This window comes from Homo sapiens, chromosome 1, assembly GCF_000001405.40.
Source record: "Homo sapiens chromosome 1, GRCh38.p14 Primary Assembly".
Classification (NCBI taxonomy): domain Eukaryota; kingdom Metazoa; phylum Chordata; class Mammalia; order Primates; family Hominidae; genus Homo; species Homo sapiens.
Window position 1 is genome coordinate 196,567,970 of NC_000001.11, and position 26,107 is coordinate 196,594,076.

Consider the following 26,107-nt stretch of genomic DNA (forward strand, 5'->3'; position numbering starts at 1 on the left):
GAAGTCATCACCTCTAAGGAAGCAATGAAACAAAACCAAAAAATCCTAAGACTTGATCTCAACTGGGTTAAGTATCTTTTGTCTGCTCTCTCTTAATACCCAGTAAATCTCCATCTGCATTTACCACACATTAAAGTGTGTTATTTATGTCAACGGTCCCCAACCTTTTTGGCACCAGAGACTAGTTTCATGAAAGACAAATGGTGGTAGAGATGGTTTCGGGATGAAACTGTTCCACCCCAGATCATCAGGCATCAGATTCTCATAAGGAGCTCGCAACCTAGATCCCTTGTATGTGCAGTTCACATAGGGTTCGCCCTTCTATAAAAATCTAATGCCACATGGCCAGGACGGTGGCTCACATCTGTAATCCCAGCACTTTGGGAGGCCGAGGCGGGCGGATCACGAGATAAGGAGATCGAGCCCATCCTGGCTAACACGGTGAAACCCCGTCTCTACTAAACAAAATACAAAAAATTAGCCGGGTGTGGTGGCCGGCGCCTATAGTCCCAGCTACACGGAAGCCTGAGGCAGGAAAATGGAGTGAACCCGGGAAGCGGAGCTTGCAGTGAGCAGAGATCGCGCCACTGCACTCCAGCCTGGGCGACAGGGCTAGACTCCGTCTCAAAAAAAAAAAAAAAGAAAAGAAAAACACGCCACCACAGATCTGACAGGAGGCGGAGCTCAGGTGGTAATGCTCTTTTTCTGGCAACTCACCTCCTGCTGTGTGGCGCTGTTCCTAACAGGCCACAGACCAGTATTGGTCAGTGGTCCTGAGGCTGGGGACCCCTGGTTTATGTTAATAATGAGCTTTTTTTTTTTTTCTCTCCAGGTTCCAACATAATTGAAGCAAATAGTAAATACTGGTTGAATGCATGCCAGAAAGACACTATGCTTGGCACACAGAGAAAAAATTCATAGCTGTTGGTTCAAAGAACTCTGTACGGTAAAATCTATTGATGTGCTCTCTTGTGATAACTTTCTGTTCCTTTAAAGAAGCAATAATCCAGGACAATGGATGAGGCAGGAGTCACTCATCATTGCTGTGAGTGTGAATCATTGCTATTACAAATTTATTCCTAAAGGATTTCCATCCTTTTCTTGATATCTTAAATATCAATTTCTACTTTCTCCTACTTTTTCTAAGATTTTATTTTAATTTAGCCTCTTAATCTGTTGAAAAATTTTAAGTTAATTTGATTTTTATGTTGTTATATTTTTTAATTTATTTCTTTCAAGTTAATTGATTACTTCTAACTGCAAGTTCTAACTGCAAGTTAACTTCCTATCATTTCAGGATCATATTGTTTTAATAATTTCTAAATTTACTTTGAATAAAATATTTTTTAAAAAACACATTGTCTTTTTAAAATATGCCTTAATATTTGGCAGTGTCTGTTCCTATTTTTAAAAATGACCTCATATTCTCAACATTTATGTTTCAGATTAATTTGATAGTGTTATGTTGATTTTCAATAAAAAATATTTAACTTTTATTGGGATTGAAATAAAGCTGTGAATTTATCTGATATTTGGTCACAACATTAGGATAAAGCTATCATTTCATTTGTTTCAGTCTCTATTTGATATGTACCAGTTAAATTTTATAGATTTCTTCAGGATCATTTGGAACAACTTACTGCTATAGCTATTTATGGCAAAACAGTGCTGAGGGAGTTCAGACTTCTGGAGAGAGCTAAAAAAAACCCTCTGAATTCATTTTGTTAATGAAATTAATTCAAAAGGATAACAGGAAAGGCAGGGCTGAAGGAAGAGAATGGCAGCCCTCATACTGCAAGTCCCTATTCATACCTAAGCAACTGGGGTTTATGTTCGCCCAAATTGGCCAGATTGGAAAGAAAGCTAAAAGACTAAGATTACATATGCTGCTAGAAATTTCTATTAAAAATAAAGGCATGCTTTTGTTTTGATTATGAGGTAGATAAACAACTTCTAGGGGTGAAGAAAGGTGTAGAGATTGGGGGAAATTTTCAACCAAGTTAACCAAAGTCACTCAAGGGCTACAGGAAACTTCTGCTATGCTAAGAAGTTCTAACCAACAAAAAGCCTCCTGAGTCCAGGAAGCTTGAGCTAGAGTAAAAAAAAAAAAAAAAAAAAAAAAAAAAAAATTAAAGGCCTTTGAGTATGGAGGCTTTGTGTAATGATAGGCAAGGACATTTGAGACAACACTTCATTCCACTAAAAGCAACCAAAAACAGTAACAACAGCAAGAATAACCTGCTTTTTGGGTGAAATGCAGTAAGTATGAAATAATCCCAATTTGAGGAATTGTTGGAATTTGATATTCTTATTGTTTAATTTTTTTAAATTATGTGTTGGTAGATTTTCACAGTGCATTTGATTACATAATTTTAATTTTGCCTGAGTAAACCTGACTTTAAAACAATTGGAAAAAACTGTATCACAATATAAAGAAAAGAATCTGAAAATGTGCAAAGGAAGAGAGTTAGACATACTTGTGGGAACCTCATCCCAACACTTTCATATCACATATTGGTGTTATACTCTGACACAATACCAAGTAAACTGAAAAGCTTGAAACTATGAGTAGAGAATCCTACTCTAATCCTACTCAAAGTAGGATTCTCTAAACAAGAAATACTTTATACATGTTATAAACTGGCAGATGCAATGATACTCAAAGAGTCTACAGCAGATTAGGGTGCTATACAGAATATACAAGCCTTCATAAAAAGAACATAATGGGGATGCCTAGGATTCTCACTTCTTAGGTGAGTAACTACTGTCCTTTTCAGAAACAGCTAGATAGATTCTTACTTGCTACTGGATCTTGATGAAGATTAAAGGTCTGACCACAGAACACAGAGAGTTCATCTTAATAAACAATTAAAAAACAGTTGCCCATAACTAACTAGCTGCATCTGACCTATTCCACTAAAAAATCAAGTCTTTATTTCCTCTAACATAAGTGCCATTAAGGCACAAGTAAGTTACATGAACAGACAGCTCACTCTCCTGGCCTACTCCTACCACACTGTTCTAATATGTCCCATATGGCAGACTACCTATATTAGTTCATCTTCCCCTCCCCACTAAGAAGTAAGCCCCATAAAGGCAGAAATCTTTACTTATTTTGTATGACTTCAACACATTAAATAGTATCTCATAGTACCTGAGACATGCTCAACACATATTTGTTGAAATAATAGATGTTTTAAGAATAGATATTTTTGCAAAGATATGGATGGCATATTAGCATTAAACAGAAAATAGAGGAATAAGTTCAATTAGAAAAAAATGCTTAGGGGTCCATTTACAGTATCTGTTGGAAGAATTTAGGCAGCATGAGACAAGAACTGAAAAATTCCCCAAACTTTTCTGTGCCCAAGATATTCTAAAGGAGAAAGAATGAGAGAGGTAAGGCTATCTTCAGAAAACATCCCAGAATATAATAGCATTGAAATCCAACTGAAACAGAGAGCTGAAAGAAATGTGAGAATGAATATAAGAAGCCCTTTCATGTGCAATTTTTGATCTCCAAGGGACTGAAGTTAAGTTAGTTTGTCAATACAAGTCAAAATTGTTCTTAAAAGACATCTGGATTCCTGGTCATTAACCATATTGATTAGTTTACCTCTATTGTGGAACACTTGTCTATAAACAAGGTAATTGTGATCAACAGATCAATCATGCCCTAATGCATATCAAACTAGAGTCCAAATGGTACAAATTCAGGGGAAGATATAGGGCTTCTGAGATCTATGTTTCCAGAGATCCAGCAGATTCATTATTCCCCTAGACATGCAGAAATTCTTCCACAGAAAGGGTCAGCTCAGTAGAGAATGAGGTGTGTTCATGGAGAAGTGATGTGAGTTCTTGAGATTTCATGAAACAGAAATATCAGTTGTTTTATTTCAGCAGTAGAAATGGTATATATATTTGGTAATGTGCTTCCATTCTGAAAATATGACCTTGATTGTGCAGGTGTTAAAATCTGCTTAAAGGAGGTTTTAAAAGTAAGAAGCAGGACCTGAAAGGCAACCTCTCAATACCATGAAAGAAATGGTTCTATGTACACCTTTGTCCTCTTGTCTCACATAAGGCTCAGATTCTACTGAGAAATGCTCATGAGCACATGCTGTTCACCATTTCATCTCTTCCAAATGGTAGCAAACCTTGGCTATAAAATAAGAGAGTAAGGTAGTGACATATTCTGAGAATTCATCCAACCTTCTCACCAAAATTAAACCTTGCCAGTTCAAGTTTTGGATTCAATATGAAGATCCACTAGAGACCTGGAACTTCTCTCAGTATAGGGAAATCTCCACCTGGCATAAGATCCTCCAGCTCAAGAGTAGTAGCCTAAACTTGGGTAGTAGTAGATGTTGGTGTGATGACCTAGTCACTGTAAGTAGTGAGTGAGGATCTCGCTCAGCATCTAGGAAAGAAGGCAGACTTTGATAACAACACACAAAAAGGAAACTTAGATGTCTTAATCTTGGCTTTCTAGGAGATAAAGAGAGAGAGAGTGCAATGAAGTGAATCAGAGAAGGCTAAGGAAAAAGTATTCAAAAGAGAGAACTGCATACGTTTTGCCATTTTGTCAGCAATTCCTATTCACTATCACCACTTTGGGTGGGATTACTTGTAGGTCATCATTATCATGGAATGCAAAGGCTTTCTAAGGGTGATGGATACTATTATTGAAAAGTTGCTATATTTTATTGAGTACTATGATGCATTTAGATAGTAGGTTAATGTAGACTTTCAATAAAATCTGATGAAGAGGAGAACATTTACTGAGGAACTTTGTAGAATGAATTAACGCATAGGAACCAACAACAGAAGAGTTGCTGCAAAAGCTTTTATGGAGTAAGAATGTCTAACATATAATTTCCAGTTGTTTCTTGATGCATGATGACACTTACCTGCTTCTCAGAAAACTTTAATGAGTTCTACTCCATATACATGGAGAAGAAAATAGAAAGGGACTCTAGTGTCTCAGGTTTAAATAGATGCTAGGATAAAATAAGCTATTGTTAACCAAGGCAGGCCTTGTCTCTTCGGGATTTTAAAAAATTTGGATGGTTTTGAATTGGCACACAACAGATACTTGGCCATGTCTTTCCTAATGAGAGAGACAGAAAACATCTGCTTATCCTTCACAGAAATTTAGTGTATTATATTTAACTTCAAAGAATGGTCTTAACAATCTACACAGAAAAATATGAGAGTTATGGCTATTTTTAAGATTTAAGGATAAAATAAAAGCATACTAAAAAAGAGAGAATTGTGAGAGACACGTTTAAAATTCTGTGAAAGCACAAATATAACTCATAAAGATATTTGTGTGTGTGTGTGTTTATTCACTTCATGGCTTTCTTGATCTAAAATCAAGTGCACCTTCTGTGATGGGAATTTGCAGACACTGTTCTTTTGATATGCTTATTTATCCAGCACTACATTTAATTGCTGAATCATGTTTTTTTTTAAAGTTCATGATGGGAAGTCTTGATTTCTAATCACGCCAGGAGAAAATGATCTTAACAACTTTGATGAGCTACTCTGTAGAACTCAGTTAGATTGAAGATTTGTTACATGATCTTCATATTTTCTTTAAGCTGTTTTTCCAATATCCTTCAAAGTGTTTCAAACACTAAATAACTAATAAATAAAATATGAAAGAAGAGAAAGGAGGAAGAAAGAGACGGAAGGAGGAAGAGGAGGGAGAGAGAAAGAGGAGGGAAGGAAGGGAGCTGAATGAGCTACCTCAGAAAACTGGCTGAAATGTTCATGAGATTGAATAATTTTATTTTTCACAATATGCTTAATGGAAGAGATATAAAATGTTTTTTCCACATGGCAGTTATTTTATGTTTTTTTAACTTTATCTTGGTATGTTACTCTTGTTTACTTTCTCAGTCACTTAGAGGACTGCAAATAAGTTAATAGCATTAATTAACTTATAATAGTGTCAGATACTTAGTTTCTTGAAGGGGGAGAGAGAGAGAGAGAATGAGAGAGATTTCAAGGATATGGAAAAATCATCTAAGTATACAAAACCGGATGATAAAGGAACAATACAGTATAGTGGACCAAGGTCTGAATCTCAACTTCATCATAGTTACATGGTCTTAATTAAATCATTTACTTTTTCTGAGAATCAATTATTAATAATATTATTTATTCTGGAGAAAGGAGAAAATAATATCTAATTTTTGGGTAGGCTCTTATGAAGCATAAATAAGAGTAAATATGAAAAGCTTCCTGGTAATAAAAACCAACGAATGAAATTTTGTGTCTTATTGTATGTTAATCAACTTAAGAGTCTATCTTCATACCAAATAATCCATACATTTTTAAAGTGTTTTACTAATCATTTTCAGATACACTATCTAGTGTGACTATCACAGCAATCCTACAAGAGAGTGAAAGAGAGTGAAAGTTCTGTCTCATTTTAGAAAGGAATCACTTAGAGTCATAGCTGTTAAACAACTAACCAGGAAGTAGGTAGCAAGGGAAGACTAAAAAACTTGGAATCCAGGTTTGCTCTCATGCATTTCATTACTTTTTACACTTTACAACAAAATTCCTGTTCATTACAAACCTCAAGCAGAATACGTTAAATATTCCAAATTTCGAATTGTTTTTCTAAGGGAAATAATTTCTTGATGAGGCCTTTTCAATAATAACACAACTTGTTTACAGAGATCAAAAATATTTTATGATTTAAAGAGATACATTTATGTTTAAAATTGTTGAGAATCTAAAACTTTGGAGCTATTATAGATAAATTATATATATGATTTATGTACAATTTTACTTGCATTATTCTATTATGATTGAATATTACAATCTTAAAACATACATAAGAAGGGTTTTTTCTTTTTTCTTAAAAACTAATACAAGATAAAGCAGAGTTTTGAGTCTCTCTCTCTGTCTTTCCCAGATATTTCTCCCTGTTTTCAACAAGTAACATGGTGCCTTCAGTTCAAAGATTCCAGAAAGACTCATAATTAATTGAGTATATTATTTAGTAATTTATATACTAAATTTCATGGTGTCTATAATTAAGCAATTTTTTCAAAATTATAAAAGTATAAAGAAAGTATAAAGGGAGAGTTTTAGAAGTGAAAGTTTGCCATTTTCCCAAAGAAAGTAATGGGGTGAATGGTATGAATTAATTAATCATACAAGGTGAAATTTTCAAGATCTATGATCTGCATTGTTTTAACTCCCTAACAATGACTGACTGATCTCTATACACAATTATTGAACACTCTCTTAACTACCCCCTTTTAAATTTGGAATTCTTTGTATCTAGCATCATTCATTTGAATAATTCAATGGTATCTATATTATTTTTTTCATTACATTTAACATTTCTCTTTTGAGAAAATGGACATAATGACATACTACAGTTTTATGTTGAATGAGTCATAAGTAAAATGTCCATAGCGCTAAACTATGTCCCTTGACTCTAGCAGAGCTGTGAACCCACCTAACGTCTAATGGGAAAACATTTCAACCATTGTTCCAATTATAAGAGGTTTGTCAGTTCAGCTGACTTTTGTAATGTAGACATTCATCGTGCAAACCAACAGATTACTTGGACATATGAGAGATCTAACATATATTTACAATAATATAAATATAGATATAATAAATAATATATAGATTTGATATATTTATATATACATAAAATCTAAGAATCATTAGCTCGAACTGTCTTCTCAGTTTAAATTGAGGAAGAGGGCGGAATGCAGTGGTTCACACCTGTACTTGGGAGGCTAAGGCTGGCGGATCACCTGAGGTCAGGAATTCCAGACCAGCCTGGCCAACATGGTGAAACCCGGTCTCTACTAAAAATACAAAAATAAGCTGGGTGTGGAGGCGCATGCCTGTAATCCCAGCTACTTGGGAGGCTGAGACACAAGAATTGCTTTAACCTGGGAGGCAGAGGTTGCAGTGAGCCATGGTCATGCCACTGCACTCCAGCCCAGGCAACAGAGTGAGACCCTGTCTAAAAAAAAAAAAAAAAAATTGAAGAAGAGATCATAACTAACATCTAATGACTAATCTAATGACTATTTATAAAATACTAGGCAGTGTGTTAGGTTTTATATATATATATATATATGTGTGTGTGTGTGTGTGTATATATATATCCTTAAAGAATCCTAACATCGATGCTAAATAGGTATGATTATACTCATTTTACAATGGTAGGAATTAAAGCTCCCAAGATTAATTAACTCAAGGCTAGTAAACATAAAAAGAGTAATATAAACACAGATATATCAGAAACAAAAGCCAGTTTTTTTGTTCCATTACTACCATTGTATAAAGAGAAAACTGAGATCCAGAGAAATTAAACTAATTATCCAAAAAGACAAGCAGTATTGTCACTAGAATTTGAATAGATGTTTTTCTATTTGAATCTACTGTCTCCTGAAGGACCTAAAGTAGCTAGAAAAACATTCCACGCCAAACTTGTTGGGAATACCATAGCATACTTCAGAGTAAAGTAGATACTGTCCTACATAAATTATATAAAAATTTTGCACATTATTCTTAGTGTGTGATTTCTAAAAACAGCTGTAAGTTCTCTTAACTAAAGTATGAATAAACATATGTATTTCATAATTATAAAGTAAATGGAAAATATGGAAAATACTGCCAATATGTTCCTCAATATCTAGTATCATTTCTTCTCATCTGTACAAACTTATTCTTTTGAAATAATAGTATCTCTGGCTGTATTTAAATATGTATGTTTATAGTATGCAGTTAATTAAAGCTTTCTATGTCACTAGGCAGTGTTGGTTTTGAAGTTCATTTTTAAAGACCACTAAATGTGCATTCATAGAACAATCAATCCAATCAGTGATATTAATATTTCCTCTTCTATCTTGCCTATACTTATTTAAGTGATGAATTCAATTAAGTTAGTTAAATTCCTCTTTCCCAGCAAAACATTTTCTTGGAAAAGTGATCGATTTTTCCATATTTGCATAAACAATTCCCAAGTAAGAGCTTGTGATGATACATTGAATAGAAAATAAAATTTCAAAGAAATTTTGTTTTCTTTTTAATTATGCCAACAGATTACTATTACTTTATTAACTGTTTATGAAAATATGGTATTCTGTAAGAATGTACAATATAATCAGTTAAAAGCCAACATCTATCCTATAGCTTCTGCTGCTGGCAATGATAGAGTAATAGGTACCAGATTTACTACCCCATCCTACTCCACTCCCAAAACAACAACAACAACAAAAATGACAACATACGCACACACAAAAATATTTTAAGGTGATGAACATGAGACAACAAAGGATGGCAATTCCTGAGAAACGAGAAACAAATGAGGTGAACCTACAACTGCCTCAGTTTATTCTTACTGTTTTGAGAAAATTTCCCACAGTCAGGAAAAACAGATGAAGCCTGACAGACTGAATGGAGAAGGCACAGAGATGAGTGTCTGAAAAGACAAAAACAGCAAGCATTCACACAACACAGAATTAGGGAGAAGAAAGCGGCACAGATAATAGATTCCAGAGATCAGTAGATATTCTCCCTTAAGCACTCAGCTGACCCTTGATTAACATATGTATGTTAGGAAACTATTCAAGGCTGAGGAAAGAACCAATGGCAATGGTGCCTGGCCCTAACACAAATCCAGGAATTGTGCTTGAACTAACCTAGAAAACCTCAAGATTCCGAGAGCACTGGTTAGAGTCCTCACAAGGGTCTTGCCTCAGTGATGGGGAATAAGTCCTAGACTGAGCATTGCTCTGGTACTGCCTAACTTAAAAGCAAGACCTAAAAGGATCAAACTGTCTCCAAATATTCTAAAACAAAGCTCAAGAATATTTATGGAAATCCAAAATATCTGACAAAAAAGTAGAATTCATAATACTCTCAACCCAATAAAAATTATTAGAAATGCAAAGAAGCAAAAAAATATAATACACTAACATTTTAAACTCTTTCTCTGTTTCTCATGCATGTTATTTTAAAACGTGTAATTTTTTTTTTATTAGGAAAACCAGGCAATGAGAAATGAAATCTGCACTGCTTTTAGCACATTATGGGATTTTACTTAATGCTATACTTTCTGCTGTAGTAGCTCATTGATATAGTACAGTGCTCAAAGAAAAGTGCTATTGATATTTTTTAAGTATTTTCATTTGGAATCAAAATTAGGAAACCTGCAGTCTTACCACACTCCATAGTTAGGAAAAAAAACAATCCCAAACCTGCAGTCTTACCACACTCCATAGTTAGGAAAAAAAACAATCAGTTGTAACCGATCCAGAACGGACAGGATGTTAGATAGCACAGAAAGACAACAAGAAGCACCTCAGTACCTGGAAAGACAAGTCACTCAGGGAACTGGGAGCCTTGAACGCGGAGAAAGGATTGGTGCAAAAAATAGAATGGCTGCAAAGTCTCTTAGAACCAACACCTCCTTCTTCACCACACAGAATTATGCAAATATCACTCCCTGACCTCACAGAGCACTGGAGGATGAAACAGACTAGCTGTAGATCAGAGTGGGCCAGGAAGGAAAGAAATTAGGAAGGGGAGTTGGCACTTCCGCTTATGTTAAAGTCTACCTACTGCAGGGGCTATGTTAAAGTCCACACATTGCAACTTAACGTATGAAGAATTCTTTTACAATTAAGCCTCTAGAAGATAGAACATTAGAGAATTCAAATCTAGAGGGACTGACCAAAGAGACTAAAAATATTGGCATTCGGGATTTGGATGGGAGGAGAGGGAGTAACAAGGAAATAATCAGCTACCCCCCATGTCACCCACAGTAAAATCCTCAGGCAGCAAATCCTGTCGATTCATAAAGAGCTTCCAATTATTTTTTTGTATTAGAGTGAAATGAAATAGCATTCAATTAACATTTTTTAGAGTTTATTATAAAGACTTTATTTTTTAGACCACTTTTATGTTCACAGCAAAATGGAGAGGAAAGTACAGAGATTTTTCATATAATCCCTAGCTCTACACAAGTGTAGTTTCCCTCATTATCAGTATCCCTCTCCACGAAGGTACAGTTGTTATGACGGATGAGCCTACCTTGACACATCACAATCACCCAAAGCCCATAGTTTACATTAGGGTTCACTCGTGGTACTGCACAACGTATGGGTTTGGACAAAGGTACAATGACATGTTATCCATGTCATATAGATTATTTTCCTTTTTCCCCCATTTTGTATACACTATGCTTAGCAAAATAACGCAGGGACAGAAAACCAAATACAGCATGTCCTCACATAAAAGTGGGAGCTAAATGATGACAACAGATGGACACAAAGAAGGGAACAATAAACCCTGGGGCCTACTTGAGGATGGAGGGTCGGGGGAGAGACAGGATCAGAAAAAATAACCATTGAGTACTAGGCTTAGTACCTGCGTGATGAAATAATCTGTATGGCAAACTCCCATGACACAAGTTTACCTATGTGACAAACATGCACATGTACCCCTAAACCTAAAATAAAAGTGAAAAAAAAAGTAGAAATTCTTTTTTTTTGAGATGCAGTCTCACTTTGTCACCCAGGTTGGAGTGTAATGACACGATCTCGGCTCACTGCAACCTCCTCCTCCCGGGTTCAAGTGATTCTCCTGCCTCAGCCTCCCCATAGCTGAGATTACAAGCATGTGCCACCACACCTGGCTAATTTTTGTATTTATAGTAGAGAAGGGGTTTCAACATGTTGGCCAGGCTGGTCTGGAACTCCTGACCTCATGTGATCCACCCACCTCTCCCTCCAAAAGTGCGGCGATTATGAGCATGAGCCACCACACTCCTCCCAGTTAAATTTTTAAAAAGACCTACACTAAAGTACAGCATCATGAAATATCAGAAAAGTGGTGATACAGCTTTCATTGGTGATACAGCTTTCATTGGCTGGAAGCAAGTCTCATTCGAATGTTCATGGTCCTCTCAATAGAAACATGGAAAGATAAAAGAATGGAAAAATGGCTTCCACATTCTGACAGAAAATAATTTTCCAACCTAGAAATGTTTCCATTCATGTGGAAAGGTAGAATAAAAAGATTTTCAGACATGCACAAGCTCAAAACTTTTCCTCCTGAAACCATTTCTAGGGAAGCTTCTGGAAAATGTGCTTCACCAATACAAAAGAATAAACAAATCCAGCAAATAGGACACTCAAGTAAAGAAAGTGAAGAGCATTCCTAAGATAATGGATTTATTATGAATGGAAGTCCCAGCTCCAGAAATACTAAATGGAAGAAATAATAGAATGGAAGCCCCAGCTCAACAGAGAAAAAAGTGATAAACAATCCCACAGAAATGTGGGTACAGAATGAAGCTTGAAGATGGTTCAGTGGGAGGGGAGGGAGTTCCTGAGTAACTCCACAGAAGAGAACCACGGAGGATCTGAGAGTGTTTCTTTCCACAGCATAACCTGGACCTTCCCCACAGGTACACTGTCTGATGTGTTTGATTACCCTGAGAAAGGCTTTATAGTTCTACCACAGTGCTTGGTGAAACACTATCAATAGGTAACTAGAAAACTTAGCAGACAACAAAATGAAAATGTGTATATACTTAGAAACAAAGACAGTTGAATAAGAAAATGATAATCATAATACTCATTACTCAGTTCTGAGCAAAACTGAAATAGTCATATAATATGCATACATGGTATTGCTCTAAACAAAAATAATTACTGTATTGGAAGAATGGGGAGTGAGATGTGTGTTGTGATGGTATAGTTAGACTGCTAAATCCTTATATTTCATAGTAGGAAGTCAATGAATACTCCCTCAAATTGAGAAACTGTGAAACTGACTATAGAGAATAAAAGCAGGGAAAAACACTCAAAAGGCTTCAAAGTGTTTCTTTCTGAAAAGTACATCATGGAAAAGCTGACAAGGTGAAGGCAGGGGCCAGATGGTTTTTGTTATTGTTGTTTTACTTGTTCTTGTTTTCTTGTAAGCCTTCTAATAATAGCTGATTTTTGAGCTATGTACAATCATTATTTTGGCAAGAACATTTTTTAAAGAACAGGTAATTTCTTCTCAAGAAATCATCTTGACTATAGCTGCTACAGCTATTTACAAAACGTACAGTTTTTTTTTCAGAAAATTAAACATTGAAATATTAGTATATATGTGATATAGTCATTCTTTTAGCATTTTTACCTTTCTGTACCACATAGGCTTAGAATAAGATCACATAAATGCTAATCTGTGGCAAGAAAATATGGGTCAGATTGTAGTGTTTCGCTTTTTTTATTGTCATAGAAAAATTATTCTTACATGATACTTGAGGAGTAGGAAATATTTATTCTTAGAAGTTAATTTTGTAACCTCCAAATTCCATATGCCTATAAATATCTAGATCTGGACCAGTTTAGTAAAAAAAGTTCTATTTTTATATATGTGAAATACACATGTATATTCCAAACTAAGCAAAAATAAAACATTAAATTTAATAAAGGGTTTTACTTGCTCTTTACTGAAAATGAATGCCACCGGGTGAATATTGCCCCATTTTTTTCTGTCCCTTATTCCCTGAGGCTATTCCAAAATTTCAATATAATGAAGTTAACACAATACAAAGTCCTCTCAGTGGCCGACTCACTCTAGAGACATTCCACAAGTATCCTAAGGAGATGGGGGAAAGATGGAGGGGAAACTGTTATTAGTAAGAACATATTTTCTTTCATTTATTTATAAAAACTTTCCAAAAAGAGAAAGAAATCCCACTCAAGCATAAATTAACTTCAGTTCATTTTAAAAGTATTTACTAAAAGCTGTCATAAAAATATATCAAATTCACTTTCTTCCATTACTTATGTTTTGAAAACTAAGTCTTTCATTTTGTTGTTCTCCTATTTAAATTATAGTAGATGTGTACAACATGAATAGACAGATGACAGCTGGATAATAGGCATCACAAATGCCTCTATGTTCACATTTCAGGAAAATTATGTCTTTCATAAGAAAATTCTGTGGGAGAACCAATAATACTGCCAGTTCTTCAGGTAGACTTTAAAAAGTCTTATCATATATTTCAAAACCAACATGTATGTATTTAATATTTACTTATCAACTTCTCTCCATATGCCAGTACAACGCCAACTTTTTTAGGAAAATCAACAAAGACCCTCATCTCCACCTTCCCTTCCTACATCTTAGTATCCCCTTCCAGCAAGCCTAATGGCCAAGAAAAACAGGGTTCAAGTTCCTGGCTCTGCCATTTTCTAGCTTTGTAATCACCAACGGATTACTTAACTTCTCTATGCCTGTTTCTTCAGCTGTACAATGGGGATAATATTATGCTTTCTCGTTGGGCATGTAAAGTACTTGGAAGAATGCTAGTAAAAAGTAATGTTATATGCATGTTCTCTTAAGGAGCTAAAGATCCATGAATAGATTTCAACTTGACATGCGCAAAAAATGCAATGTCTAATTTGAGCACCTTTGGTATTTTTGATGAATACCGAAGGTGTTCAAATTAGGCACTGCAATTTTATGCAAGCAGGGAAGATAAACTTGCAGAAGTGGAGCTGAGATTTTTAGAAGTTTGGAAGGGTTGGTTAGAATGATAGAGGGCAAGTTTTGTAGCTGCCTTATAAGGTCAAGTTCCCAATTTCTTCAGTCCTGGCCACTACCTTAGTGCCTCCACAAACACCCAAGATACAGCAGCATTGACAGCATTGACTAGGCTTGGTTCAAACACTGAGTCCTTTGAATTATTCTCTCACCACCAATTCATTTACATTTCAGTGATGCATCAGGCAAGGATACAGATGAACCATGTCACCTGCTTCAGCTTGTCCAAACTAAATAAAGTAGAACAAATAGAGTACAATAAAGGTTTGAAAAGCATAAAATACAGAAGATAATACAGATTGCATAGGATTATAAAATATAATTATACAGGATTATAAAATATAATTATACAGGATTATAAAATACAGAGATTTGCATAGCGAAAAAGCCTTCCTAAAATGCTGAGATAAAGATTATGTAAGTGATAACTGGTCAAAAAATAGGTGAATATCATGTGACATGTAGAGGTGGAGTGGGATGTCTTCAGAGGTTGTTATTCATTCCAGAGAGAGGAATTGTCCAATGGCAGCCAGAAGGAAGACCTGAGGCAGAAAAATTAAAACACCTCTCAAGAGTTCAGATGAGAAAGGCAGGCACATTAATTAGAAGCGTAATAATTAAAATGGACTCATGAGGACAACAATTTGAGCCATCTATGAATTGAATCAATGAGATCTGTAGTGAACCAAGCTTTAAAAAGAATTTAATAATCCAGCCTTGGGTGGCTGGTTGCATGTTGGTACCATATTTAAACACAAAAAATACCAGAGGGTAAATAGTTTCAAAGAGATGACAAAATTAATTTTGGACACTGTGGATTGAAATGTCTGCTGAACATGAAAAGACACCCAGTGGAAAGCAGTCTATATAGTTTTAGAGCTCTGCACAGAGAAGTAAGACAAATATCATGATTTGGAAATCATCAACATATAATTACATTTATTGAAGTTTAAACAAAGCAAACTAGAAATGAAAAGAGCAAAGAACCAAGGAAGAATCCTTGATAAAACATAATTTTTAGTGCTAAATAAAAGAAGGGAAGACTGTAAAGGAGAACTAGGATAAGATGAGTAGGACATAAAACAAAGAAGAATGATATCATAGAAATCAAGAGAAGGAAGTTTCAAGAAAGAGGAGGAGAATCAGAAAAAAAAAATTGTTCATTGGACCTGGCATGAAAAAGATCATCAGAAATTTTAAGAGAAACGTAAGTAGAGCCATAGGGCAGAAGAAAGAATGCACAAGATAGAAGAGTAAATAAGAGCCAGGAAAGAAAAGTTCAGGTTAAAAATGGGTGGAAAGCATGGAAATATATAGGGTACTGAAGGTCTTGATGATATGTAAAAATGAATCAGTTTGGTGTTAGTAAGGAAGTGTGAACACTGAAAGGACAAGTTAGAGTTACATGGTGGGATGTTGCCACGTAAGTTTCCAGAAGTAGAGCAATCTTGGTCATACTCAGGTCCAGCCTAACAAGAGGGTGCCAGGCAGAATTGGATATAAAAGTCACCAAACTAAAGGAACTATAAAGGCAGGGTCTGGAACAGGGTATTACCTGGGCAAAGAATGCGAAAACAATGATACTAGCATCTGGAATTAAGATAAAATAAAATAAAATAAAATAAAAAGAATAGAAGCTCCCGCCCAAACCCTCCATAATTGTGGAGGAATCACCAAAGGTTGACAAAACACAGTGACAAGAAAAAAGCAAAGGCTGTAATAAATAACATACGCCTCAAATAAGGGGAAATGTAATGGTGTATAATTTGTAAGAAGAGGGGTAACACATTTCCAAACCTGTGATATATGGGGAGCAGTATGAAAATGAGCAGCTTTTATTAAAAAGATTCTAATGTTACAGTTTGTTTCCTATTCAAATTAACAAATGGATGAACTCTCCTTGAAAAAACTGAAGGTGCTGGAAAATTTATTTGTAAGGGTGCACGTATTCCAAGAGGCTTAGAAGAAAAGATTAGCAGAGAGGGGCATGCCTGGACCATTAAATCAACAGAGTATGAGGATGAGACAGAAAGAGTACAGATGAATGAACATATTTTCAGAAAAGTATATTGTCAAACATTGTAGTAACTAGAAATAATGTTGTCAAGAGAAAATTCCTGTCAACTTTTATATCAGATTTTATTTTAATAGTAAATATATAAGCTTTGCTAGAAAAAGAACCTTGGGACTCAGGAGGAAGTTAATTAGCTTGAAGATTCCAAATGGAATTTGGGTTAAATTTTACCCAAGTACAAATATGATTCATGATTTATCACCCAGTCTAATATTCAGGAGACTTTGCCCAGGGTTCCAAACAAAACATTTTGTTTGTTTGTTTGGGGGTGGGGTTTGCAAAGATGAACTCCGAATGGAGAGGGTGCTTCCAGTAGGCGTGGGTCCCATGAAAAAGAGTCAGCACACATGTGTTCTGCTCAGAACAAGGACCATTCACAGGCAGAAGAGGCTTATCATTCAGTATTTGCCAAGCATTTATTATTTTCAAGTATGAGTACAATACGATGTAGAAGAGACTTGGAGTCTAGTTGGAGAAACTGCAGATATTTAAAAAATGACAACTCAAGGGAGTAGTTATAAAAATGAAATAATAAGCGCAAAAACTGAGACTAGGAAGAAAGCTCAGTAGTGAGGAAGAGGCAAAAGGAAGATCAGAAAATTAAAAACTAGCTATAACCTTAAGATACTATGCAATCCTGTTCTGTGTCAAACACTTTACACAAATTATCTCTTCAAAGAGAGGATGGGACTTGACTTACACATCAAGTAACTGGTAGTGAGTAAATAAACTGTGAAGAGAGGAAAAGAAACGTTTCCTCTAAAGGTTTTCTACACATATATTTAATTTATATTTTGATTATTGGACCACACATATTTATCTAAACAATTAATACTAATGAATTCTCTTTGTCATTCCACTCAGTCGATAATTCAATTGCCCAAATAAATGGAATGGATGGGTCAATTTAGTGGAAATAACTGAGCTATTTATTACAGCCAAGAGGAAGCTAACTAATTAAAAAAAAACATTATAGAGATCACAAAACGAATTTGATGACTCACAAATAACAGAGCAAGAAAGAGAATGGGATTATTTTAGAGTATTTTTTTCTTGTAATCAAAAAAGAAAAGGACATTCACTCACTCATCCATTAGGTTTGTCAGTGTAATTCCTTGGACATAGTCTTAGCAATTCATAGACTGAAAATGGAATAGCTCATCTAGAAGTACAGGATTTAAAACTTTAGATACACTCATACTTTCAAGTACTTTAGTTTTTATAGCCCATCAGTTACATTTTATAGAGGCAATAAACATAAATGAAACTTTTTTTATTAAATGCACATAAATCTCAACTCTATTGAACTCTTAATTATATAATTAGCAGGCCAAGCATGATGACTCATGTCTATAATCCCAGAACTTTGGGAGGCCAAAGTGGCAGATATCTTGAGCTCCTTGAACTCAGGAGTTTGAGACCAGCCTGCGCAACATGGCAAAACCCCATCTCTATTTAAAAAAATACAAAAAATTATCCAGGCGTAGTGGCAAGTGCCTGTGGTCCCAGCTACTTGGGAGGCTGAGACAGGAGGATCACTTCAGCCCCAGTGGCACAGATTGCATTGAGCTGAGATTCTGCTGCTACACTCCAACCTGGGTAATAGAGTGAGACTCTGTTTCAAAATAAGGAAATTAATTAATTAATATGCATATAATTAGCAGATTAATCAAGCCCTTCACTTCTTTTCTTGCTGCTAAATTCCCCATTTTGTTGTTTTATTTAAAAATCTCATGGGGTTTTTAAACTCTTGATTTAAAGTTTTAAAACTATCAGTAATATTATTAAGAATTCAATCATTTTGGGGAAAATTTGTTTGACACTAGTCAATTGATAATCTAGACATCTCCTGCTGCTAGAATAATAAGAATTCTTACCTGTATTATTATTCGTTTCTGTTATCATTAATAAGAGTACCTGATTTATCATTGAGTCACTTTCTTACTCTGCTATTGGAAAACCCAATATCAAACCACATTTTCTACTATGAAACATGAGTTTTCAGGAAGACAAGTAGAAAGAAATAGTCAGAGGCAAATAATTTAGAGGCTACTAACATTAAAATCAAGAGGATTAAAAAAAACAACAACAACAACTGTAAGTAGTACAATTTACAATCTCTTCCACCATATCTTACCATTACAAACTATATATTCTTCGTGTTCCTCCCCTGAGCTCTTATTTTATTGATAAAATGTGTCCACATTGAATAATAATCACAATATTTAATAAGTGCTAATAGGAGAACAGAACTCTTGCTTTCCACAAGTATGAGAGAAAAAATATTTGACGTGAAGCTTGACTCTCTAAAACTCAATTAGCATAATATCATTCAAATGGACTGAGTTTATGAAACATGAAGAGCAATAAACTTCTGCTGTGATGATTCTACTTTCCTCAAAGCAACTTACTGAAATATAGAAAATATTCGAATCATGGAAAAAATTTGAATAAAATTTTAACAAGAACTGACACTTTATACACTTAATGTGTTTTCAAAAATATTTTTTCCAAATCCTAAAAAATCGAATAACAACATATTGATGACTTCTAAAGACTAAGAAGGTATCATTTAGCAGTAATTATTACCTAGCACTGAGCTAAGGAATTTTCATAAATTATCTATTACCTACCAACAGCAGTAAAATTATTATCTTCATTTTGCAGATGAGAGCACTGACAACTAGAGAGATTACATAATTGCCCAAGACCATACAGTTACTAAACGCTGGAAGAGGGACCAAACTCATCAGAAAGAGTTGGTTAAGATTTTATACCCTCAACAGCTCTAATATAGTGACATTAAAGAAGCATATGACTTTTACCTTATATTATTTAATTGCTACCATAATAATCATACCAGAATTCACAAGATATTATCATTTATTAACATTCCATATAATTATTCAGATAGCTGTGTATCATGTCTTAATTTCAGAGTCCTGATTTAGATATAAGGCTATAAGATTTAGCTTTGTAGGCTTTGATTACAATAATCTATAGACATATTTTTATGTAAGTACTCAATAGAAAAAAAATTACTTTCCATTTAAACTTAAATCTTCTGTTTTAATGAAAAGAAGTATCAAAAATAACCCATAGAGTATGTAACCCAAACTCTTTGATATTTGCTTTTAGAATTAAATTGACTACGCAATGGCATGGGTAGGGGTAACATGATGAAAAGTAAAATAAAAGTCCACTGCAAAATTAAGACAGTTCAAATTATCCTGCTTATATACTGACATGCTCCACTGCTCCCAAATATCTAATTAATTTGAGAGAAAAATTCATTCATCTTTTCAAAAATGGTAGCACTTGCTGGCTCAATGCCTGCCTGGTTCTTGCCTTGATAAGATAGTGTGGAAAAATTACAATAATCATAATCAATACTTTGAAAAACCTTTTCTATCAGCTGAGGCAAAGAAAGGGGCAAATTCTCTTTTATTGTTAACCTGAACTGCTATTTCAAGACGGAGTGGCTTTTGAATATCTTAAATCTTGCAGTTCAACTTCTGCAGGTTATTTGAACATGGTATTAGTAGCATTGGCAGTACATAAACATTTGACTTGTAATATCTGACTGAAAAGTGATATTCTGTAGCACTGAATGTGAATTAAATAGATGGGAAAAAAAAACAGGAAAACAAACATTTAAAGCAAAAGCTGTTGCCCTAATGCCCCAGGTGCAGTACACAACAAATGTGATGATTTACTTAAAATAATGAAAACATGAATATTATCTATTTTTATCATTAGCTTCTCCAAGAAGGCAATGTCAAAGTGTGATTTATTAATCTGTTTCCTTTACTTTCCTTACTAACACATAGCAAAACAAAGATTTTATTAGCAAAACAAAAACTGTACTGTCTTATTGCAAACATTCTGTTGAGATTTTTAAAAAGCAGTCACTTTTATTGTTATTCTTAATACATAAGCTGTGTAAATGTCCTTGTTTGCCTTTGTTTTCCCAATGACACAAATCTACAATGTTACAATAGTATACCCAGAAAGTAAAAAGGATTAACATAGTGTTTTCTAATCAGTCATGTTAGAAACTTATATTTTACAATGATTTATAGAAGTTGTATAGTTATGGGCAGCAATTAATTTTTACCAAGGAACAATAATACATAGACTACTAACTGTGTATAGGAACGAAATCTTATTTCTAGGGTATGATATGGAAGTATGCATTAAACACCATGAAATATAAATACTCATACTCTTATTCCTCAACAGGGTAATTTCATTTATTTTAGTAAATGAAAGAATTTATTTAGTAAATGAAGAATTTATTTTAATAAAATCATCAGTGAATCCCCCAAAAAGCCTATAAGTATTTAAAGACAAGAATGTAAAATATCAACATCAAAGCAACCTAAATATCTAACAACACCTAATTAAATAAACACGATATATTCATATTATAGAATATTATACTATCAAAAGTAATCTTGTTTTGGAATCTACTTAGAAATACATGTCACAAAACAATGGATTTAAGTAGGTTTACGTAACAATATGTTAAGTGAAAACATCAGTTTGTACAACAATATCTTCTATTGTATAACTCCACTTGTGTAAACATAATCCTTAAAGTCACTATATATATAAAAAAAAGTGTGTGTGTGTGTGCACACGTGAATAGTCAAAGTATTTTACATGTTCTTCTTTTAAAAATTCTATACATTAAAATGTACCAACTTTACATTTTTTAATGTTCTTGAAAGAATTTAACGTAGTATTTGTAGTCTAGAGGTGTTGGCATTAAATGTCAAAAATATATTTTTAAGATAAAATAATAAAATTATTTGAATAGTTTATTAGCAAATAAATTTTCTAAGTTTAAGCATAACATTTTTCCTCATGTTTCCATTCTGAAACCGTCTCTCTTTGGGGAGTTTACCAAACCAAAAACCAATCCCTCTGAGGCCAGCCCCTTCATAATCAATCTAATGAATTTCTCCCTTTCTTATAAAAGTATACAACATGAGTATGTGTATTTGTGACATTTATTCATTAACTCTGATTATATGTGACTACTGTTCCACATTCTTGATATTCTTGGCTCTCTGTAGGTGTTTTGAATATACTGAATCGTCCCTTTCATTCAGCCAGTTTTTGAACCTACAGTCTATCATACTCATCCCATTTCATTAAAAGAGTTTTTTAATTTATGCATACAGATTTCTAAATCAATTTTTACTAAGCATTACCTACAGTGTACTCCTAAACCTTCTAAATGCTACTTTTTAAACAAAGTGACTCTGACTTTCCTCTTGCTTTTTTCATTCCAACACCAGAGAACACATTTTTGTAGCCATTGTTGTTTTAAAAATAGTGTGTAGAGTACAATATACATTATACAGGTTTTAGCTACACTAAAAGCCACAACTTTACCACTACGTAGTGTATCCCCGTAACAAAACTGCACTTGTATCCCTTAAATTTATACAAATAAAAAAAATGCAAAGTAAACACACTGTGACCCTCTAGTCTTTGGGAAATCACCAAAATGTTAAAGCAGACATTGAAAGGAATAAAGCCAAGTATACTGCTACTTGCCAATCTTTACTTTTCCCACACTTTTGACCGAGTATAGCTGTTCTTCACACAAGGCATTTAAAATATGCCAAATGAGCAAAAATACAAAAGGCTGAGGGTAAAAAGAACTGTATAGAAATCCCACATCTGCCACAGGTGATCAGCAGATGCCAGCTACTGACAGATAATATTTGTTAACAAGCAGGACAGATTCTAATTATGAGATGGCTTGTTATAAGAAAGAGAAATAGTGTAATGGTCACTGCAATGGAGGACGGGTTTCAGGTGACAGCCCCAAGCCCGCACTCCTCCTCCAGAGCCTTGCTTTCCTGCTTCCTCCCAGACCCTGGCACTAGCCTCATTCCTTTCTTCACTGCCCTTCCAGATAATGTAGGACATGCTCCTCCAGGTGAAAATGACTTTTTGGTGAGGAGGTTGGGGTGGGCAAGGGCTCCATCACTCACAAAATCCTAAAGGTTGATCTACTTTAAAATTTTAAGTAAAACAAAGCTCCTGTTTCTAAATTGATATTTTCACGTTACTTGGCAGTAAAATCGAGTTCACCTCAACCACATTTTATAGGTGTATTCTCTTCCTTACTGATATGGTTGAGATGTTACACCACCTCCAAATCCCATGTTGAAAAGAGATCTCAGGCCGAGTGCAGTGGCTCATGCCTGTAATCCCAGTACTTTGGGAGGAGGAGGTGGGTGGATCACTTGAGGCCAGGAGTTCAAGACCTGCCTGGGCAACATGGTGAAACCCTGTCTCTACAAAAAGATACAAAAATTAGCCAGGTATAGTGGCATGCACCTGTACTCCCAGCTACTCGAGAGGCTGAGGCATGAGAATCACACAAACACACAAAAAAAGAGAGATAGAGAATGATCCCCAATGTTGGAGGTGGGGCTAATGGGAGGTGTTTGGGTCATGAGGGCGGATCCTTCATGAATGATGTGATGCAGTCCTCACTGCAATGAGTGAGTTCTCACTCTGAGTTCACAAGAGAGTTGGTTGTTTAAAGAAGCCTGGCACCTCCTTTCTCTCTTGCTCCCTCTCTTGCCATGAGACATTCGAGCTCCCCTCTTACAACTTCCACAATAAGTGGAAGCTTCCTGAGGCCCTCCCCAGAAAAAGGATGCTGGTACCATGCTTGCACAGCCTGAAGAACTGTGAGCCAAAATTAATCTCTTTATAAATCACCCAGCCTGAGGTATTCCTTTAGAGCAATGCAAACAGACTAACACACTTGTCATATACCACCCCCGCACCAAAAATACCAAGACTTCCTCAACACCTATATGATGAAATGATGGCTTTGTTAAAAGAAGTTTTGCATTCTGAAGACTCATTAATCAACATACTACAGGGCAATGTGGACTGACCTACAATATTCCAAGAATGCAAATCTCCAATGCTCTCATAGTACAATCCTTTGTACCAAATTCTAACTTATATAATAGTTAATTTGTATGTCTTATCTCTCCAGCACAATATAAGGGTCAAGGATACTGTAAGTGTGGGATGATATCCTTCAAGTACTTCTTATGCATTATCCCACATCATAAGGTAGCAAGATTAAGTTAAATTTGAACATAATTTGGGATGCACAGAGGAGCTGACCCTGGCTTCATTATAAAAGTTTACTAGAATGAGATATTACATGAAATATGTTGTAGGAAAAATGGAATCAGTAAGTCAGAGCAACTCGATAATAAAAATTTTAATTAGTGTTTATAGGCATGCATTTAATTATATGTTTCTGTAAGTACTAGAATTTCTTTCCTATCTTCCATGTGGTAGTAAAGCTTCAAGTGTAAAGAGATGTATTACAAGCTTCTTTCTGGCACTACAAAGAAGAGGGAAGTAAATCAAAAGTGCTCTTCACACCTATGTTTGTTGCGGCACAAGATTTGGAAGCAACCCATTTCCATCAACCGATGAATGGATAAAGAAAATGTGGTACATATACACAATGGTGTACTATTCAGCCATAAAAAAAAATGAGATTCTGTCATTTGCAATAACATGGATGGAACTGGAGGTCATTATGTTAAATAAAATAAGTCAGAAATGACATCTTTTCACTTATTTGTGGGATCTAAAAATCAAAACAACTGAAGTCATGGAGACAGAAAGTAGAAGAATGTTTAATAGAGGCTGGGAGGATAGTGTGGGGGTGTTGGGAGAGGAGGTGGGGATGGTTAATGGGTACCAAAGATAAAAAAGATATATATATATAATCTTATTCATTCTAACTGTATATTTATATATTTATATTTATAGCACATATATTAATATATAACTTTCTAACTATATATAAATATATTAATATATAACTTTCTAACTATATATAAATATATAAATGTATTTATATAGTTATAGTTTTATATAGTTAGAAAGTTATATATTAATATATGTGCTATCAAATGCTTCCTAACCATATATATAGTTAGAAATACATATATATGTCTATAGACATACATATATGTATCTGATTATATATGTATGTATATACACATATATAAATATATATATACATATATATATATAGTCAGAAAGAATGAATAAGACCTAGTATTTGATAACACAAGAGGGAGTCTATAGTCAATAATAATTTAAATGTACTTTTACTTTTATGTATTTTAATTTTTTATTTCTATAAAATAAAAAATAATTTCTATTAAATTTAATAAAAATTATTTTTAAGAAAATTTAATAAATTAATTTAATAAAATAATTTTTTATTTCCATAAAATGTGGGGGGAACAGGTAGTATTTGGTTACATGAGGAAGTTCTTTAGTGGTGATTTGTAAGATTTTGGTGCACCCATCACCCAAGTAGTATACACTGAACACAATTTGTAGTCTTTTATCCCTTACCCCCTCCCACCCTTTCCTGCCGAGTCCCCAAAGTCCATCTATCATTCTTATGCCTTTGCATCCTCATAGCTTAGCTTCCACTTATGAGTGAGAACATATGATGTTTCGTTTTCCATTCCTGAGTTACTTCACTTAGAATAATATTCTCTAATTCCATCCAGGTTGCTGCAAATGCCATTAATTCATTCCTTTTTATGGCTGAGTAGTATTCCATCATATATATAATATATATATATATATACACACACACACACACACACACACACACACATATATATGTGTATATATGTATTTTTTTATTTTTTTCTTTATCCACTCATTGATTGAAGGGCATTTGGGCTGATTCCAAATTTTTTCAATTGTGAATTGTGCTGCTATGAACATGCATGTGCAAGTATCTTTTTGTATAATGACTTCTCTTCCTCTGGGTAGATACCCAGTAGTGGGATTGGTTTCGAAAATAACTAAAAGAGTATAATCGGATTTTTTGTAACAGAAAGGATAAATGCTTGGGGGGATGGATATCCCATTTTCCATGATGTGATTATTACACGTTGCATGCCTGTATCCAAACATCTCATGTACCCCAAAAATATATACACCTACCATGTACCCACAAAAATTAAAAATTTAAAAAACTGGTCACTCCATGTAACAAAAAAGAAACCCTACAAAAGATATGACTTTCTACACATTTAATAATAGGAATGTACATATTTTTGAATAGCGTACCTTCTATTCGAATACTTAGAACACGTTGTTTAGATAATGGTCACAGATGTATTTCACATACTTTTTATTCTTCAAGAAAATCATTCTTTATTCATACTAACACTGCAAAACTAAACAGACCCTAAACTATTATAAGCACTGTTTCTCAATAAGGAAAAGAAAAAGATTTTTACAGAAGACCAACACACACACACACATACACACACACAAGAATTCAATACCATTCATCTCAATTCTGTATAACTACCACTACCTATGTGAGTATGAGATGGA

At 34.4% G+C, this 26,107-nt stretch overlaps 1 protein-coding gene and 1 non-coding gene across 14 annotated transcripts in view; both read right to left on the minus strand.

Annotated features, from left to right (window-relative positions):
• Positions 1-26,107, minus strand: part of KCNT2 (potassium sodium-activated channel subfamily T member 2) — a 382,662-nt gene that overhangs the window by 342,191 nt on the left and 14,364 nt on the right. The window lies entirely within an intron of this gene.
• On the minus strand, positions 14,444-14,512 carry MIR4735 (microRNA 4735). The gene has a single exon (NR_039888.1). It is a non-coding gene; the product is annotated as a microRNA 4735 (primary transcript).